The sequence below is a fragment of the Homo sapiens genome, chromosome X (genome assembly GCF_000001405.40).
Source record: "Homo sapiens chromosome X, GRCh38.p14 Primary Assembly".
Classification (NCBI taxonomy): Eukaryota; Metazoa; Chordata; class Mammalia; order Primates; family Hominidae; genus Homo; species Homo sapiens.
In genome coordinates this window covers 103,774,440-103,792,651 of record NC_000023.11, presented here as the reverse complement: position 1 = coordinate 103,792,651, position 18,212 = coordinate 103,774,440, and the positions used below count along the sequence as shown (strand labels likewise).

The following is an 18,212-nucleotide window of genomic DNA, read 5'->3' as shown; positions in this document are numbered from 1 at the left end:
CAAATAGAACAATTCACTCAAAGGACACGATGTTTGATTGAGAACATTCTTAATTTTATTTTCTTTAATTTTATAAAATACACTTTGTAAGATAAGTTTCTAAAAGTTTATCCTTTATGTGTGTTAAAATTGCAATTCTATATCAGAAATGAAGGAAACACTTTCAGTTGATTAACTCTCTTTGTGTGTGTATATATGTGTATGTATGCATGTGAGGTTTTCAGGGAAGGGTTGGTTATTTGTTATGTTATTAAATCAAAACAAAACACAAGGTACGGATTACTTCACTGTCCTTTATCTTGATTGGTTTCTTACAAAACATTTTCCCTCTCCTCCTTCTATGCAGCCTGGAAGCTTATCTTGTATACTGGTTTGAAAACAAGTATCAAGTGTCTTTTTGTAAAGCTCTTACATCTCCTTAAATATTGCTGAAACCACTTTGGGGGAAAAGAACAACACAACTCTTTACAACAAAAGAACTGTAGTACAAATCTTTCCTTCAATTAAAACCAATCAGACTTTTTTTTTTTTTAACCCAAAGTTAACAAAAACAGGAAAAGACTGAAATCTGGGAGCTATTCAGGTCTCAAACTCTTTCTGCCTGTCCTTTTTCCTGGAAGCTTACCAACTGAATAGCTGATGACTGGTGCATTCTGTTATGTGATCTATATCAGGAGAAAATAACCTTTATGTTAAACCTAACTCTTAACACACCAAGATAACATTGCTAAGTAAAATCATTTTCCATTAGCTAGAAAGAACGATCAGATTACTCAAATTGAGATTCAAATTCACCAAATCTGTTTCTGCAAAGGCAGAATACTTGTAGAAAATCCCAATAGATTCAACTAGCCAATTTTTAATATCATTTGTGATGCTTAATGTCCAATTTTCCTAGTTTAAAAAACAGTCATAATCAAAGAATTATTCTCCAGACATTTCTGATGCAACCCCAAATAAGTAATAAACAAACTGGAATACATGAAATGTGCATCATTCTAAAACAAATCAAGACCTTCAAATCACCTACGATGACTGAATGGATAATACCCCATGAAATGAGCACCATTGTGAAGATATGACAGAGGCCAGAGTACACAACTAATTAACAGAAAAAAAGACATGCTATCCAAAGAGTTATCTATCCTGTGTCTACCAGAGGGCCATCTCAGGTTACACCATTAGCCACCAGCAACTGCTGCTCCTCAGGCCAGTCTGTTCTCATGTAAGCTAGTTTCCTTCTATTCTCAGCTCCTTGGAAACCACAGGGTTGTCATGGTAGCTGTTATCAAGGAGAAGGGAGTGAGAAGATGCTGACAACACCCTGTTTCTCTTCCCTAACGAGGTGTAAGGCCAGATGCCCCCTTCGTCTACACAGATTCTACGCTCCCTTATGCTGTAAGTAAGGTTGGCTGAGTTAGGGCTTCAGTAGTCCATCGCCATCGGGGTCAGTGCTCTCTTTCTGTGGGTGAAAGATCCTTGCTTTGACCCCCTTCTCCCAGCTGCAATAGGCAGATTTGGGCAAACGCTCTTATTGTTTTTCTGACATTCTTTTTTCTTCTATCTTCAGTGGTAATAGAGAGACCAGAATGAATTCCATTTTGTACACCAAAGAGAATATATTTGGCCCCTATAGATGGCAAGAGGACCAAAGACATTCCTTCTCTGTACCTGAGCATCTTTCCTTCCACTTTGTTTCCATCAGTGGAAGTACCCTTTGAGAAGAAATTACTTTCTGATCCTCAGGAGATGCTTGAAAATTCAATTAGAGCCTCCATTCCTTTGTGACTTGCAGTTGGGAAGTCATCTTCTTAGGCATTTCCCATTTCTAGCAGGAACCAGCTATGAAGCAAAATGACTAAAAGAGGTACATAAGAGGGGAGAGTCCAAAGAGAGACCTTAATCACTGCAAGACTCTCCTTTCTTGTTACACTCATCAAGTAAGAAGAGGGCCAGTTGGTGGCAAAGGCAAAGAGTTAAGATGGGAGACGCAGCATTGTAGGCTGTGTGGTTAGAGCCTCGCTATTAGAGAAAGGGGGATTTCTACGGGGGATCAGAACTTGGTGCCTCGGCCCATGAGTTTAAGGACGGCAAAGTTGTAAGTGGCAGCAATCATGAAGGTGAGCTGTAGGGAACAGAAGAGAGAATGTGAATGAGAGTAGAAAAGAAAGCACTCCCTCCTCAAATCCCTTTGGGAATGAGGAAGGGTAGAAATAAAATCATAACTAAATAAGGGAAAAACCCATGCTCTGCAAAAAGCAGTACATCCCAGGCTTGGCTTTCTCCATATACACTTGACTGGAAGTCCGATGTCTCTGAGGCATCATGGGTCTCATGGCCCAGGCCCAGAGAATCAAATCATAAAGATTTATTCCACACCTCTGTTTGATCTAGCACTGAGTTTTCCTCAGGGAAGTGAACAATATTTGGGCTTTGCCACATCAATATGTCCGAGTGACTTAGAGTCATAGGGTGCTTGCTGTAGACACACAGCCACATCATGCAGTAGAGCTCTCCCCTGGTTAATGAATCAATTCGTTTTACAAGGTGAGAAATTACTTGACTCTGTATGGAAACCTCAGCAGTAGGGGCCAGGAGTTCTGTGAGCTCATCTTGTCTGATCACTGCTTATAAAATAACTTCAGATAAATCACTTCACCCTTCAGTGCCTTAGGTTTTTAATCTGCACAATGAGCACACTACATTCACAGGGCACTGTAGCACTATCAGCAAGACCTGGGACATAGCATTGTATTATAATCATAACAATTCTAATAATGTTAGGAGGTCCTCCCAGTATTTCCATATGAGTAACTAAATCCACTGGAGAGTATCCAAAGTGGATTCATATTGATAGTATATAGAATTCCAGGCTATAGCAAGTCATGTTTCGTGATGTTTCAGTGTTTTGTCACTGATCTGATCAAAATGTATTGAGAATTAACCGTAATTTATGACTGCAAAGTACTTGGCAACATTACATGTTCTATAAATACTAAATATTATCATTCGTGTCTATGAATCTCTTACCTCTTTCCTCATACCACTTTTCTTGTTCCCATCTAATTTGTGATGTCTTTCTGCCTTGCCAATGCAAGTAGAAGTACGGAGCCTCCACCCTTTGCTATCTTCCCAGAAGCTTCCCTCCAGCATTTCAAGGATGGAAGCAGTCTACCTTCTTGCCTTTCAGAATAGCTGTACCCACACTATCTCAGGCCTATTTACTTGCCAAGATCATTCAAAGTCAACTCACCAGGGAAACCAGTGTAGCTGCAGCCCCCACAAATGCAGCAATAAACAGGTGGAAGGTCATTTGGAACTGCAGGAAAATGAAAGAGGAAGAACTGTTTCTTGCAACAGCAGTAATATGCTCCACTGTAAATCATGAATACAGCTTTCTGAATGTGTTGATATCTTTCTTGTGTGCTAATTCCACATCTCTAACTAAGTTTTCACTTCCCTAAATGTGGGCCTCCCAGTCTTCAGTGTACACCATAGCACCTGGCCCATTAACACCCAGATCACAGAATAGTCATGAAATAGTACAGTACTCCAAAATAATTAACTGGTTCCCTACAGTTGTGCCCAGGGGCCCAAAATTTAAAGTCAACATTTTGCTGTCAAAGAAATAATTTACTGCCTGTCTCCCCCGGATTTACTTTTATTCCCCTGCCTCATTTGTATATAATATCTGTTCTCAATACAGTGCTTTCCCTTTCAAATGTACTTATTTTACCTCTCATTTGAGATAAAGAAGTTCCAAATTGAAAATGTTTTCATAAAACCTATGAATGCCTCTGTGCACAGCCCATTTTCTTGATATGGTTTTTAACTAAAGGAATGAAAATTTTCATGTGGGGGATTTTGCCATTAGGCTCTATCTTTACCTAAAGCTACAAACTTCTCTTTTAAGAGGGGAAGGGTTGGAAAGGAAGTCTTTCTATGCAACTCTAGAGAAAACAGGTGTTTTACCTTCTATGCTCATTGGCTCAGGCACACTTAGCCAACATGTTGTAGAAGGCAATCGGCTAATTCAAAATCCAGCAAAGGGAAACTTTCAGTCCTTAAAATTGAAGGCCATGGGTGTAATTTGTATGGTATTAGCTACTCCCTTGTAAAATAACCCAAATAACCCACTCACCTCAGCTGTTTTGCAGATGGACAGAAGGTTGGAGCCACAAACCTTGCCAGGGAAAGCATTCCATGGGAGAACACCTAAGTAAGACACAAAAAGCAAGCAGGGTAAGCTTTATGGAGTTACGGGGCCACATGGAGACTTTCCCCCAGAGCCCTTCTTCCATCTCTAATTATCCTGGCTGTAAAGTTGGATTCTACCAACAATCAGGATCCTCTTTTCTACAGGTTTACAAAAAAGAGAAGGTGGTATTGAACAGTGGTGAAACCTTGTGTTTGTTATTGAAATGTGCTGCTTTGGGGTTGTGAACAGCAGTCAACTAGAGTAGGCCAATGTGAATGGCCAAGAAAACTCCCACCACTTCCAAGTTCCCTTCCCGGGGAAGAAACCTCTCTGGTTTCAGTAGGGAAGGATTAATAAACTAAGACCCAATCATTCATCATCTTATATTTTTCTCATAATCACCACCCTCCTTACACTAAGAAAATAACCAAATATATAGTGCTTCCATAGTGGGTAGGAGAGCCAAAGCACCCGTACCCTAACTCACCATACATTCTGGCATCAGCACAGAGACTGCCTATACTGGCAGAGGTCTTGCTGGGGAAGGCAATAGACTGGCAGGTGGTCCAGGTGTTGAAGTAAATGTACACAGGCACAGCAGAGCAGGCAAACACCAGGAGCCACACAACGGTCAGGGCATAGGTGATGCCCACAAACTAAAATGATTGACATGGGGTGGTTAGAAATCAGCATCAGCCTGCAGATGTAGAAACACAAACTGGGAGATCCTGGAGTGGCGTGTGCCAGACATTAAAACCAGGTTCCAGGGCTCTCCTTCAAATGAAATTAGTGAGCAGGGCACCTCTGCCAAGGGTAATTGGCAGTATCTACTAGATAACTGGCCCCAGTATAACGGAGGGTGGGGGGAATGGGTAGGGGAAGAGTGAGGAGGATCCCTGGGTTAGAGAGGCTTCAGAGGATGTTTTTGGGCAGATAAGGTGTAAAGAAATCAAAACAGATCTTGAAAGAAAGTCGTGCCATTTTGTGCCTTAGGCTGAGCTTAGAACATGTTCCTTGCCATAGGAACATTTTTGTTCCCTAGCCATTGAACAAAGCCAATAGGAGATTAAAATTTCAGATACAAAACCTTTCTAAGCTAACTGCTGGCCACAAAAAGACATTGCTGGAACCCACACATGTTCAGCCGCCAAAGGATCTTTAACTCCAGAGACTGAAAACAAATGTGCACCTCACTCAAAGCATGGATAACCCTCAGGCAATAAAACATTCAACATGCAGATCTACTCCAATTCCCTCTGGGACCTCGAACTGTGCAGGATCCCAGAACATTGTAAATTTCACCTTGGAGTTAATTATTTAATTTTTATTATCCATCCTCCCTCTCAGATCAGGTGCCCAAGTCTCAATCACATGAGCAGCATTTTAGACTCTTGTCCAGTTAGATCCACTCTTGTGGTACCTACTAGGAAGGGAACAAAGGGATACCAACAGATGGCTTAGAAATGGTCTGATTGTACAAAGCATCCCACAAAACTCATGCTTTCTGTTTTGAGAAGAAATTTGCTTAGGGAACCTTTGAAAGGTGAGGCTAAGCCAGCTGGGCACCACGTTCTTCCTGACCTTCTCGTTCGGCTGCAGCCATCGCTTCCTCACTCAAATGCCAGGCCCCTAGAGAGGACCCAGCCTTGGGTGGGGACGAGGCCACAGACTCGCGCCCAATTTTCCCCCACCCCTTGTTATTGCCACAAAATCCTGAGGATGATCACCTTGTCGGGATGTCCTAGCCATTTTCCCAAACAATGACACACCCGCTCCAAAGAATGAGCTTGATGTTGGCCTCTGGAACCCCTCCCCTTCTGGCCCCCTGTTACCGTTGCGCTCAGGCCCTTGCCGCAGATGGTGGTCTTGTAGTCGCCAAAGATCTGCCTGACTGCGCCGGTGGTGTAGAAGCCCTCAGCCAGCAGGAGGGCCCCATAAAGGAAGAAGAAAGAGGCAGTTCCATAGATGACATACTGGAAGGCATGGATCCTGCATTAACAGGTAGACAAACGAGACCAGGGAATCTTATTAATTGAAGACCTGGCTTCTTTCCCGACATAAGTGAGGTATACACCAGAGCGAGCACCTTAACAAGGCTAGGGATTTTCTAGAGGAATCACCAGGTTCCTCCTGCATGCTTTCACCTTATCTTTGTTGAAATAAGTGAAGACAGGGTGTATGTGACCAGAAACATATGCCCCTCCCGCCACACCTTGCTTACCCTGGGACCTGGAGAACCAGGGACCTACTCTCCCTGCCCCACCCTTCAGACATGCTAACTCACAGGAGTAGGGAGCTAGACAAGAAGAAAGGTGGGTGAAGGAACAGGAGCCTAACTTGTTCTAGGAACAGGAGAGGCTTAGTGCCTCCCTTGGCTTCTCCATACCTACTACGCTGGAGGCTCCAACTTGGGCAATATGAACCACACCTAGCAGAAGTCAGAACACGTGTAAGAAAACAAGGGGGCGGGGGTGGGAGGGGCTGACAGGCAGGCAGGCAGACCCCTCCTTTCTGAATGGGCTTCGAATGTGGAGCAGGAGAGATCTGCACAGAGGGAAGACTCGGGAATCCGGTCTGGCTCCACCCCAGTCCCCTGCTAGTTACTAAGGTACTGAAGAGTTCTCTATCTCCAGGATGGAGAGAGGGAAAAAAAAGATGGGTCTGTGTGGGAGGGCAGGTACTTACACATTGATGAGATACTCATAGTCTTGGTAGTTTTTGGAGAAATAGGTCTCAATTAGCTTTTCTGTGCCAGTGAGGGCTTCATGTCCACAGCCACAGAACAGTGCCACCCCAAAGAAACACAATCCAGTGGCCACCAGGGAAGCAAAGGGGGCCCCTACCAGACATCTTGCACAGCACTCTAACAAGCCTGGGGAAGAAGAAGGGGAAACAGTCAGGCACATCCAGTAGGTAGCTCATGCCACTCAAACCCCTCTGCCAGGCCCTGTGCTCACAGGCTCGGAGATAGTGGGCACTCCGAAGTCAAAAAGCAGGAGCGGCTAGAGGTTTTGGCTTTCAGCATGTGAGATTGACCCAGAATCCTTACTTTGTTTCATTCTTGAAAATAAATCTTTGGCCGGGCACGGTGGCTCATGCCTGTAATCCCAGCACTTTGGGAGGCTGAGGCAGGTGGATCACATGAGGTCAGGAGTTCAAGACCAGCCTGGCCAACATGGCAAAACCCCGTCTCTACTAAAAATACAAAAATTAGCCGGGCATGGGCGTATGCCTGTAATCCCAGCTACTCAGGAGGCTGAGACAGGAGAATCTGTTAAACCCAGGAGGAGGCGGAGGTTGCCGTGAGCCAAGATTGCGCCATTGTACTCCAGCCTGGGCAGTAAGAGCGAGACTCTGTCTCAAGAAAAAAAAAAAGAAAGAAAGAAAATAAATCCTTACCTTTTATTGCCAGAATTTAAAAAATATTTAATAAATAATAATAATTCAGCAATTCAAATAGCAAGCCAGAGAGATTATGAAATCAGTCCCTTCTTTCTTATTGTTCTAGTCTGTTTGTTTGCTTGCTTATTTTAGTCATTCATCAACTATTTATGGAATACTCACTATATGCCCAGCATTATGCTGGGTGTTATACGGGATATGAAGAGAGAAAAGACACAGACTCTGCCATATGGGAGTCTTTAATTTCCTGAGGAAGAATTAGCTAAGTAGACCTAATATTTTCAACTAACAATTCAGGCAGCCAAGTAAGTGGTAACAGAGGGTAAATGCACTTGGAGTTCCAGGAAGGGATGAGTGCAGGCCAGAGATGCTGGTATTGTCAGACAGGATTTTAGCATGAAGAGCATTCCAGGTGGAGGAAACTTTGGAAATTGGATGCTCCTGGACATTTTTGAGCATCGTGTGTATTTGTTGCAAAGAATGCTTGATTCTTCTTAGTTTACATATGGGAGGAGCAGTCCAAACAGGATGGAGCTAGCACAGGACAAGAAATGAAAATTGGAAAATAGGAGGTTTGATATTACTCCCAATAATAAAAATGCAGGCTTAATGATTTTGGACACTTTGTATGGCAGTTTTGTCCTCCTATAATGCAGCTTGGCTAATGTCCCCACCCTCAGTTATACGCTGAGATTCTGTCAAAACAGCTACAAACAGACTTTATACAAAGTCAGCAAAGCATGAAACATCTTTCTGGCACTAGAGGAACACACCAGGGCCTGGGAACACATGTGTCTTAAAGTGCTAAGAGTCCCTGAGATCCCCAGACCTGGTATCCCAGGCCCTATGCCAGTGTTGCTGAGAAACAGGAGAGGCACACAAGAAGTCACAGGCTCTGAAAGCAGCTGTGTTCCAAGTACTAGTCCCATGCTCTAAGATGTCATATGGAGTGAACCTTAGCAAATGCCAAGTAGATGACTGACTAGATGAGGAAAAGAATGGCTTCCTCTGGCCTCTCGGCCAGATCCCTAAAATGTAGAAGAAATGAGAATGTTAAGCTCTTCAGAAAAAATGTCTTAATTCATATGTATGTATATATATAAATATATGTATATATACCCACTGATTTTATATATCTATAAACACAGTATACACATGCACACACACAAATACTCAGCAAATGTACTGGGAAGCTGCTATTTTTGAATAAGCAGGTTGTGACAGCTTGTACAATAAAAATAAATTGTATTAATTACTTAGGCTTGGATTTTTGTATTCAAGCATTTCTCCAAGCCACACTCACTTTTCTATAGGGTACCAGGGAAAGGGGACTCCTTTTCCTGATTCTGTTAACATTAGTTACAGTTTGTTTTTAGCCCAGAGAGCATGAATACCTAGTGATTTACATGGCTGAATTGCATCAGTGTGAACAGATTTGGAAAGATCAAATTATCTCTGTCATGGGAAAATCGAGGTAGAGGCATTTGCCTCTGTTCTCAGAGACACAAAAGGAGTGAGTCCTATTACCCACCATCCCCTGAAATGACAGCCCTTTCTTGGCCTTCAAAGAGTGTCACACCAAAGATGAGCCTCAGAAGCCCAAGCCAAACAAAGTAAGCAGCTAACATTTGGAGCAGAACTTCCTTTTCCAAGAACTAAAGCATTGCTGCCAGGAAACTTGGCCTCTATAAGAAGCAATCTGTAGCTGTGCTGCTGTGAGTGGAGGCTGAGTTTACTCAGCATGAACTTTGCAAACGTGCTTGGGAAGAGTGTCTTTTCAGAGCTGGCCCATGGGTGTGTCTGTGTGTGTGCACACGCACATGCATGCATGTGTACAAATGTGCACATACACACATGTATACCACAGAGAAAAACACAACAACTGAAATCGATTGTTGTTCTCAGAAAACATTCCAGAAATTGATCTTCCTCTTTCTCAACAGGTTAAGATACTAGATTCAGCCTATAAGTCAAGAAAAGGAGCTTAGAAGTAAACAGTACTGCCATTTTCCTTCTCTGCCTATCCAACTCCTCCCCACCCCCAAACTCTTAGACTTTTCTAGTAAAGAAAGTCTCTGAAGCCTGGGGATGGGGGGAGAAGAAGGTCAGTGACCCCACTGTTCCCTTTCTCCCCAGCACAGGGTCAGGGCTTGGACAGAGCCCTCCATAGCTCCCCCGGACAAAGAAGCCTTGTTCTTTCCTGAGATCTCAGGAGCCTGATTGGTATTCCACAGGGGCCTGCAGCCGGGGGGTGGGGAGGGGGTCAGACTCAGGGAACAATGGCAGGACTGTTTGTTTAGCCGAGGGTAAGAAGAGCCATCCACCCTAGCAAGTGACCATCTTGGGCCTACTCACTCATCCCAGCATTTTCATCTGGGAAGGGCTAAGTGCTTGTGCAGGTATGGTCAGGGATGGAGGAACTTGAACTCTTGCTAGCCAAAAGAGAACTCCACTTTAAGCGTTAGGTGATGCCACCTCTAGGGTTGCAAAGATGAGAGGGAAACATCCTCTTGAGTGTATCTGATCCCTCAATCATCATCCAAATAACCTGAGAGTGTCATGGATTGTGTTCTTACTGGGTGATAAATGGCTAAGCCTTAGGAGCAATTCTGAGTCACCAGATCATAGCCTTTCTTTTTACATCCATTTTTCCTCTATTTTCTTAGAACTTGAATAACTTAGCATCCCCTTTTCTGCTCCACTACAGCTCAAAGCAAGGGACAAGAAAGAAGTAGGCTTTAATGAGTTTCTAATGTAAAGTCTGAAATAAATGACTTTAGATAAATCTATCACTATTAAGCTATAAACAATTCAGTAATATCAGCATAAGCATCAGATGTTCATCTCTTCACAACCTAGATGAAATGTTTGCTTTGGGGGCATTTAAGTTCAGCAGAAGTGAAGAATCTCAGTCAGTCTGTCCAAGCAAGAATCAGATTTTAGATTCTAACTGAGAAAAACTCAGAGCCTGCAAGAAATTATTTTTTCATCAAAGTAGTTGACAATCAAAGCATTCTGAGAAAAGATCCATTGGGCTCCCTTTGATTTTTCACAGTCCAAGAAATGTCCCTTGGGTATGTGTGAACAATAGCCTAAAGCCAAAAGCTCTCCATTTCAGAACCCCTCCTGGTTGAAAGGGTGTGAGTTTGATTCAAGAAGGCTGGAAGAGATTCTAGGGGAGAAGTTCCTTGGCTCTCTCAAGAGACATTCTCACATTTCCAGTCTAAGTACAGACTGCGAGATGAGAGAGTTGGCATAAAAGAACCATATAGTAATAACATTTCTCAATGCAACTCAGTCAGATTAAGCCACCTGACTTTGATGAAAGGTCATAGAGAAAAATAATGACCCCCTCCAGTGTTTTTCTTTCATTTCTGTTTATGTGAATTCAGTACAAGAATTAAGCACACTAGCAGTGACATAGACATTAGGAGAAACAGAAGGGAATTAAAAGGCCAGTCCCTTTCTTTAGAAAACTTGAAATCCTGTTGGGGTGAACAAACATATGTCTGTGAATCAAAATCTAAAGCTACCTATAAGCAAGTGTTAAAATGGATATAACGAAGTTGTGTGGGCAAAATGTAAGCAAAGGGAAAAGATCATGTCATGGTTGGCTACATTTGTATACAAACTCCCAAAACAAGTCTAATCAATCTGTGATAGTTGATACTCCAACTTTAAGCCCTTCTCACCAGCGCTCTTCACAGCGGTCTGACAGAGATCAACAGAACCAATGTGACTTACACAGATCCAGGTTCATCAAGGGACTGTGTTGATCCTGATGCTGTCTCTTTAAGCAGGCACCAAGAGCTCCCAACCCTCCCTCCCTCCTTTCCCATGCCCTGGGCCCGCCTCAAGGACCAGCTCCATGATGGAAATTCAGTGTGAATCTGGGAACTCATCAAAGGAAGGAGAGGAAGGGCTTTCATCGAAAGGAATGGTAGAAAGAGACCAATTGTACCCTGCACAATTCCCAGCCTGTCCCTTGAATCCAGCTGACAAAGGGAGAGATAGAAGAACCCTATACAATAGAGCTAAACAACAGGCAGGCTCATTGAGTGAGAAACTGGCCCCACCTCCCTAGGTCTCGAATCTGCACTACAGTCTTACCCTCCTCCCAGAACCCACCCCTTAACCTTACCCCATGAACAGAGGCCTCCTTGATCAGGGCCTGCAGTAGTTGACAAGGCCGAAATGCTAGAGCAGCCGTGACTGGTACTAGGGATGGATGGGGATCAGTGGGTGGGTTCTAGGAGTAAAACAACAATTATCAAGAGGTGCCAGAGACAAACAAAGACTTTTGCTTCGGGCCTCGTCCTGGTCAGACAATGCCCTGCCTATAATCTTGTCTTTCCTACATATCCCTTTTGATATCAGCACTTATATACCACATTCAAGTGCTGGAAAACAGTCCCGAAGTCTCTGGGGCCTGGGAATCCAAGCCTGCTGGATAGTCAAATCATGTGGACAAGGTTAACTAAAAAGGAATCTCAGCCTCCTCTTTGGACACGATTTAGTATTACCACGGCAACAGCATCTGGACTATCTTGTTTCCTATACTCCCCACTCCTCTTCAGACGCGCACACACACACACACACACACACACACACAGAGAGAGACAGAATGAATGATGTACACATTCCAATTTATGTGCAAGCATTGGGAAGCTGAGGTAGGACTTTGATTGTTAAAACTTATCCTTGGCACATTGTCTCCACCTTGCCCACGAATGGGAAGATGAAAGGGAAGTAACTGGTACTAGAGACAATAGTAGCCATACCTTGTTCCTCAGGTCAGTCTCCCACCATTTCCTCCTCTCTCCTTGTTGCAGTGTGAAGCTGATTTGGGGAACCTTATTCTCTTCCTTGGGACTCTTTTCTAGAGCCCTGCCTGGCAGACAGCTCAGAGGCCAGTGCAGAGCTGAGAGATAGCCCTCAGGGCCATTTTGCCGTAGGCAAGAGGGATTAATCAATCAGTACTTGCTGAGCTTTTGATGTAAGTTTGGCACTGAGTAGGCTCTGAAAGCAGGAAAGGAAGGAAAAGCTGCTCCATTCACCTACCATGGCTGCTGTGACCCTTCCTGATCATGTCACTGTCCTCACTTGGTCTTCTTTAGACCTGAAGTGCTGTGGGCAGGGAAGGCATTTCTACTGTTGCTTTCTTTCAAGACAAAGACCTGTACCCAGGGGATGGCTTTCAAGGCTTCAGGACGATAGACAAAAGCAATGGGGGAAAGTGATGTTACTGGCTGGAGTTCTACCTTAATGGGTTTGGAGACTATATTTCCCCTCCCACCCACCTCCCAGGGTTGAGGTTGTTATTACTCAGATCGCTCTGAGAGAGCAGTTCCAGTTGTCAGCCTGTTAAGTAAACTTCTGGCTTTCCTAGCTCAGAGCCAAGCCCAAGGCCCCCTAAAGCAGGGTAGACCTTTCAAACTGCCTGGCTTTCCAAGAACTCCTCTGGCTCTGCACGGCCAAAGGGAGAAGTGAGGTAGAGAAGGCTGCACTTGATTATTTTAGTCAGTGTCTCCAGGAAGACTAGGTGAACATGCTGGCTGGGATCTGGTTTATTTTTGGCTCCTGGTATTCTTGGGGCATTCTTGCCATTTTGATGGGACTCAGTTAGTCTTCGGGCATTTTATAAAACTGGACCCCCGCTCTGCCGCCACACTTTTTGCCTGGGCTACACCCACTTACTGCAAGCCAGCCAAAACTACACTGCTTGGCAAACAGCCACTTTTGGATGGAGGCATCACAGTCTGGTTACCAGGGTAACAGCCACTGTTCTCAGACGACAACAGGCTTGCAGACAATGTTTTGCTGTTCAATAATGGCATTGTGTTTCAGAGCAGAGAATAATCAGCTACTGCTCTTTTGCTCCTTTCTGGTTCCATCATTATCCCAAAGACTCACTTGGAACATTCCCCTTCCAAATCAAGGCAAAAATTAATGAGCTATCATTTTCCCCATAAATCTTTTGTGCAGACACTACTGAATCAGTGTTCCTCCTTGCTTCCAATCCTAAGGGATTCTATATGGTTGAAGTAGTAAGTTCCCTGTTCCTGGAGGTGATTAAGCAGAGGCTGTACGAACATTTAATTGGTTGTTGTAAAAATGAATCCCGCATTGAAGGTTGGCTCAGACAACTTCTAAAGTTCCTTCCAATCCCGGATTCCATGATACAATGTGTTTACTGCAATTGTTGAACAGCAGTGCACTCCACATCAGAAGTAGTGGCAGTCCAGTACCTTGTTAGAGATGATCTATAATTCAAAGTACTTTAGATACTCTGTTATTGAATAAATGAAAACTCAGTGGCTGCTCCATCATATGTACCTGGCCCAAGTATCGTCCACCCTTAGGACCTGGGACCCAATGTGCATCCTCAATCGTGCCCTTATCTGTGGCACTCTTCCTCTGGAGGAAACCACCCAGCCTCCATAACAGGCAATTGTCCCTGTGGTCACTTTATTTGTTCCTGCCTTTCCTCAGGGATTTCATCCCCTGAGGAAGTAATATTCAACATCCTTCTTTACTCCCTCTCTGTTTTTAATGCACAACCTATCCAGTCAGCTCGGCTGACATTAGATAGGATTCCTGATGTTACCCAGGGCAGGAATTGAGTTCCTCCAACATTCACCTCTCATCTGGTCACACATAATTGGTCAAATGATTCTGACCCAAGCACGCAAAGAAAACCCAACCACCCTGGAAAGAGGAAGAGTTCGCCTGTATACACATTATTGTCTAATAGTAGGTATTATCATGATTTACAGTTGTTATAGATCTTGCCCATTTTCAAAGGACTTTGACATTATTGTTACTTGATTCTCACAACCCTGAAAGTAGACAAAGTAGTTATTGCTGTCCCCATTTTCCAGATGAGGAAGTGGTGATTCAGTGACCTGTCCAAGGTCACATAGTTCATAAGTAGCAGATCTGGGATTTGAATCTGATTTTTCCGACTCCCTGTCCAGTGCTCTCCCTCCTGTTTTACCTGAACACATGCTTCAAAGTGTTCTCTCTGTGTTTCATGATGAAACAACCTAAAGGCTGAACCAGCTCAGTATAATTGCAAATTGATCTCTGTGGATGTTGTCTACTGGATGCTACATTTGATAGGGAATACATGGGGCAACTGAGTCTCATTTCATTTAGGATGTGTTTAAGCTGCTATCTTTGTTTTGCCAAATGTTAGCAATGTCTACAGGACTCTGTGGAGTCCAATAGGGACAAAGACCCTTGTGCTCTGCACACATTACTCTGAGTAGAAACTACCACCAGAACTTCATAGCTTCTGTCTTTGTTCACGGAACCTAGAAAAGCCCTCAATACTCAGCCAACTTAGCAAGAGCCCTAATGTCCCAGCATCCTCCTTGTCACAGCAAAGAGCCTTCAGGAAAGCTGTGTCTGTGATATTTGCTAGAAATGATCAACCCTATATGTGCACACACATGCACATATGCACATACACACACACACTCCTACCCATATCTGTTTCCCATGGTCAAGCCATTGAGGACTTTACTTTCATTTCCTGAACCTGAGAATGGCCTCCTCAGCCATAGCCAAGCCTGAGTCCAGCTTGCCCGATCCCCAGCTTCCTATTAATGCCAAACATGGTTCAAAGTTTGCATCAAGCAAGCAGTTATTTTGTACATCTGAGGGCTAGACAGTGCTCAGTGGCCTCCAGCAGAACCAGGAGGGCAAGCTGACCCAACCGTTGCCAGGGCCTTGGAACCAAGGGAAAAGAGAAGATAGAGGGAAGTGAGGGGGTAGGAGGACACATGACCACATCCATCCAGCTGGGCACTCTCTCCAGAGATCTGTGGGACTCTCCACGTGCTGCTGGAATTCTTTGGTAATAAAGCATCATGCTTAGTACAGCGGAGAAGGAGTTAATCTAACTGAATGTTAAGGAATTTAAAAAGAAAACAAGTGCCAAAACACGACTCATTTAAACCATGGAACCCCCGAACCCCAAAGTTGGAAATTCTCTTGTGAATTCCTGTGTCCTCTTGAATCTTCAATGCTAAAGTTTTTGAAACTTACCCATGTCTTTGGGACTCTGACTCCAATTGTAGCCGGCTGGCTAGTCTGCTTTGTGGCTGACTTTGTTCAGCTGGAAGGATCCTGGTCTCTCCAGCCTCCTTCTTCGGTCTTTTACTTTTTCTCTCTGAGTATCTTTGTCCTCTTCTCCTGCAATGAAAAGGGCTTTCTGATTGACAGCCAACCCCCTTAAAGGGACAGGCCTGCTTTCCTCCTCCTCTCCTCCTCCCTTCTCCTCCCCTTTTCCCCACCTACTCAGGGATACTCCCTTCTCTAAGGGCTCCATCTTCTCTTTCTGCCTTTCACTGCCAATTGTTTCATTTTCTTTGTTTTTCCTTTTTTCCCTAAGGCTTGCCTGGAATTTCGCTTTGCTGCAGAGACATCTGGAAATGTGGATTGAGGGTGGAAATAAAATGAAGATGTCCTGGAAACTTCCAACTGATCCTTGGGTCTAATTGGTGTGGGATATGCAGCACAAGCGTGAGAAGCCATGAAGTGAGAGCCCCAACAGGGGCTCAGAGTCAAAAACCTAGATATTAGCTCCCAAAGTCCTTCCGAATCTGCTCCAGCTCCCCACATCACTCCTAGCTGCCCTTGGCCCTCTCCACCTTTCCCCTCCCGATTCCTTGGAAAATAAGCGTTCCTCCCCCACCCCCACCCCCAGCTCTACGAACACAATAGAGAAGAAAAAATTGTCTTTTAAGATAATTTCCTCCAAATCCTTCTCAGTTTCAACTGCATGAAGACAAAATGCAGGCTGTCAATTCGATGAACAGATTGTGATTAGGCTGGGGGAGGCTAGAATTGTAATAATTTTATAGCTACAATAATAAAGACCCAGAAGTGGGCAAGACCTATGCAAGTTCACAGACTAGGTTAAAGAAAAGGCCAGCGTTGAAGATGTGGGTGATTTCCAAGAAGGATAATCGACTTCGAGACAAGTCAAGAACACGATCTGGGAATCAGGTAGTCAGTATTCTATCCTGAGAGTGTAATATCTTCATCAGAGAGCTTAAGCCAGGCAGACAAGAGGCAGGGAGTGGGTTAGAGTGAAGCAGCAGGTGGCAGTGAGGGTGGAGAGAAGAAACGAAATATAGTCCTTGCCACAGAGAAAGAAGCGGTAAGACAAAAATGGCTAAGCAGCAAAAACAGGGAAATACTATATAAAACCTGCCTTAGCAATAAGCTATTTCTAAAGACTGTGAAGGTATTTAAATGCCCACTGCTAGATGGGATCAGCCTGGGAAGGTTTTCTAGAACAGGTGAATCTTAAACAGTGTCTGTCTGGGCTCCTTGTCAGTCCTGTCTCCCTTCACAGCTCCCTTGACCTAGAGGCCGGTGTCCTCCCATGGATGGCCTTTAAAACAACTGGCTGGCATATAATAAGAGGGGCACCTGTTGGAAGACTCCGGAGAAGGAAGGTATGGTCTCCTGGAACTTTTCCTGTGATTTTGCCTTGGGAGAGGAGAGAAGAGGAGGGAGATACTGAGCAGAGACTAGTACCTTCCTGGGGTGGGAGAAAGGCAAGATTGTGTCTTACAGTTTTCTCTTTGGGCTGTGACTTTGGACATGTTACTGGCTTGGGCTCTGCTGTTAGGAAATGGACGAGTCTTTGGCAGATGCCCCTGTGGGCCCACTGGGGCCAAATCCTGCACCGTTTGAGGCTTGCTTAGAGTACTAGAACTCTAGATCCTTTGCTCTTGTATCAGCCCCAAGAAAAAAGGATCTCTGGAAATGCTGCCCCTTGCAAAACGGTATAATAGTAGCTTTCCAGAGCAGACGAGACTAAGGCCATGTGACTGATGGAAAAGGGTCCTAGAGCCCCTCGCCCTCCCCAGCCCTGCTCGCCAGCCACAGACTATGCCTGCTTTGGAAGCTCAACTGTAGGATTGAGCCAGCAATAAACTTCTGGATGGTCACTGTCGGAATGGCCCTGGAGAAGGGGGAGGACCAAGAGCAAGAAATCGCCAAATGTGTCTCCTCAGCTCATCAGATGGCAGGAGTGAGCCCAAACTTTGGGAGTTCAGATTTAGAGGATGAGGCAAATGATCCTTCACAGCTCGAATAGATGAGACAGCTCTCCACACAGGGGACATCACTCAGACTGAGCCCTCTCACAAAGCTTCCCCTGAGTTCTCAGCAGCAGCTCTGGGGACAGCAACTCTACTGGAAAGAAAATATGTGTTCCCAATAAACCCACAGATACCAATTTATCAACCACATTCCCTTAACACACATTTCTCTTCTCCTTTCTTCCATCTCCATTGCCTTAATATTCATTCTATCCTCTCCCCAAGTCTCAATCTCTTTGTCTCTGTTACCTGTCTCTGTCTCTGTTTCTCTCTATGTGTCTGTCTCTGTTTCCTTTTTCTCTCTCCACATTCCCTGTCTTCGCCTTGTTCTTATGCTTGTTCTTATGCCCAGGGCCAGAAAAGGGACCCAGCCAGGTGACCGTGTCTCACTCATCCCAGTGCCTTAAGGTTCCCAACTCCCTAGAATCTAGTGTGTTCTCATTGCTCTGTACATCCCGACACTCTGCCTCAGTACCTCGTCAGCAGACCTT

General features: G+C 44.4%; 2 protein-coding genes across 6 annotated transcripts in view; one reads left to right on the top strand and one right to left on the bottom strand.

Annotated features, from left to right (window-relative positions):
• Window positions 1-16,328, top strand: part of RAB9B (RAB9B, member RAS oncogene family) — a 55,934-nt gene extending 39,606 nt beyond the window's left edge. For both annotated transcript variants that reach the window (NR_146558.2, NR_146560.2), the window contains one exon: window positions 15,999-16,328. The gene's annotated coding sequence lies outside the window, so the exon portion shown is untranslated. The remainder of the gene's footprint in view (window positions 1-15,998) is intronic.
• PLP1 (proteolipid protein 1) lies at window positions 33-16,146 on the bottom strand. 4 transcript variants are annotated; one of them, NM_001128834.3, is made up of 8 exons: window positions 16,005-16,146; window positions 15,653-15,799; window positions 6,884-7,070; window positions 5,926-6,187; window positions 4,686-4,854; window positions 4,142-4,215; window positions 3,254-3,319; window positions 33-2,125 (listed from the first exon to the last, which is right to left on the bottom strand). In NM_001128834.3, exons 2-8 carry the CDS (start codon window positions 15,654-15,656, stop codon window positions 2,054-2,056), a joined length of 834 nt encoding a protein of 277 aa, NP_001122306.1. In that variant the 5' UTR covers window positions 15,657-15,799; window positions 16,005-16,146; the 3' UTR covers window positions 33-2,053. The 4 variants fall into 4 exon arrangements, with proteins under 4 accessions (NP_001122306.1, NP_000524.3, NP_955772.1 ...); NM_000533.5 differs by lacking the exon at window positions 16,005-16,146 and having other exon boundaries at window positions 15,653-15,812; NM_199478.3 differs by lacking the exon at window positions 16,005-16,146 and having other exon boundaries at window positions 6,031-6,187; window positions 15,653-15,812.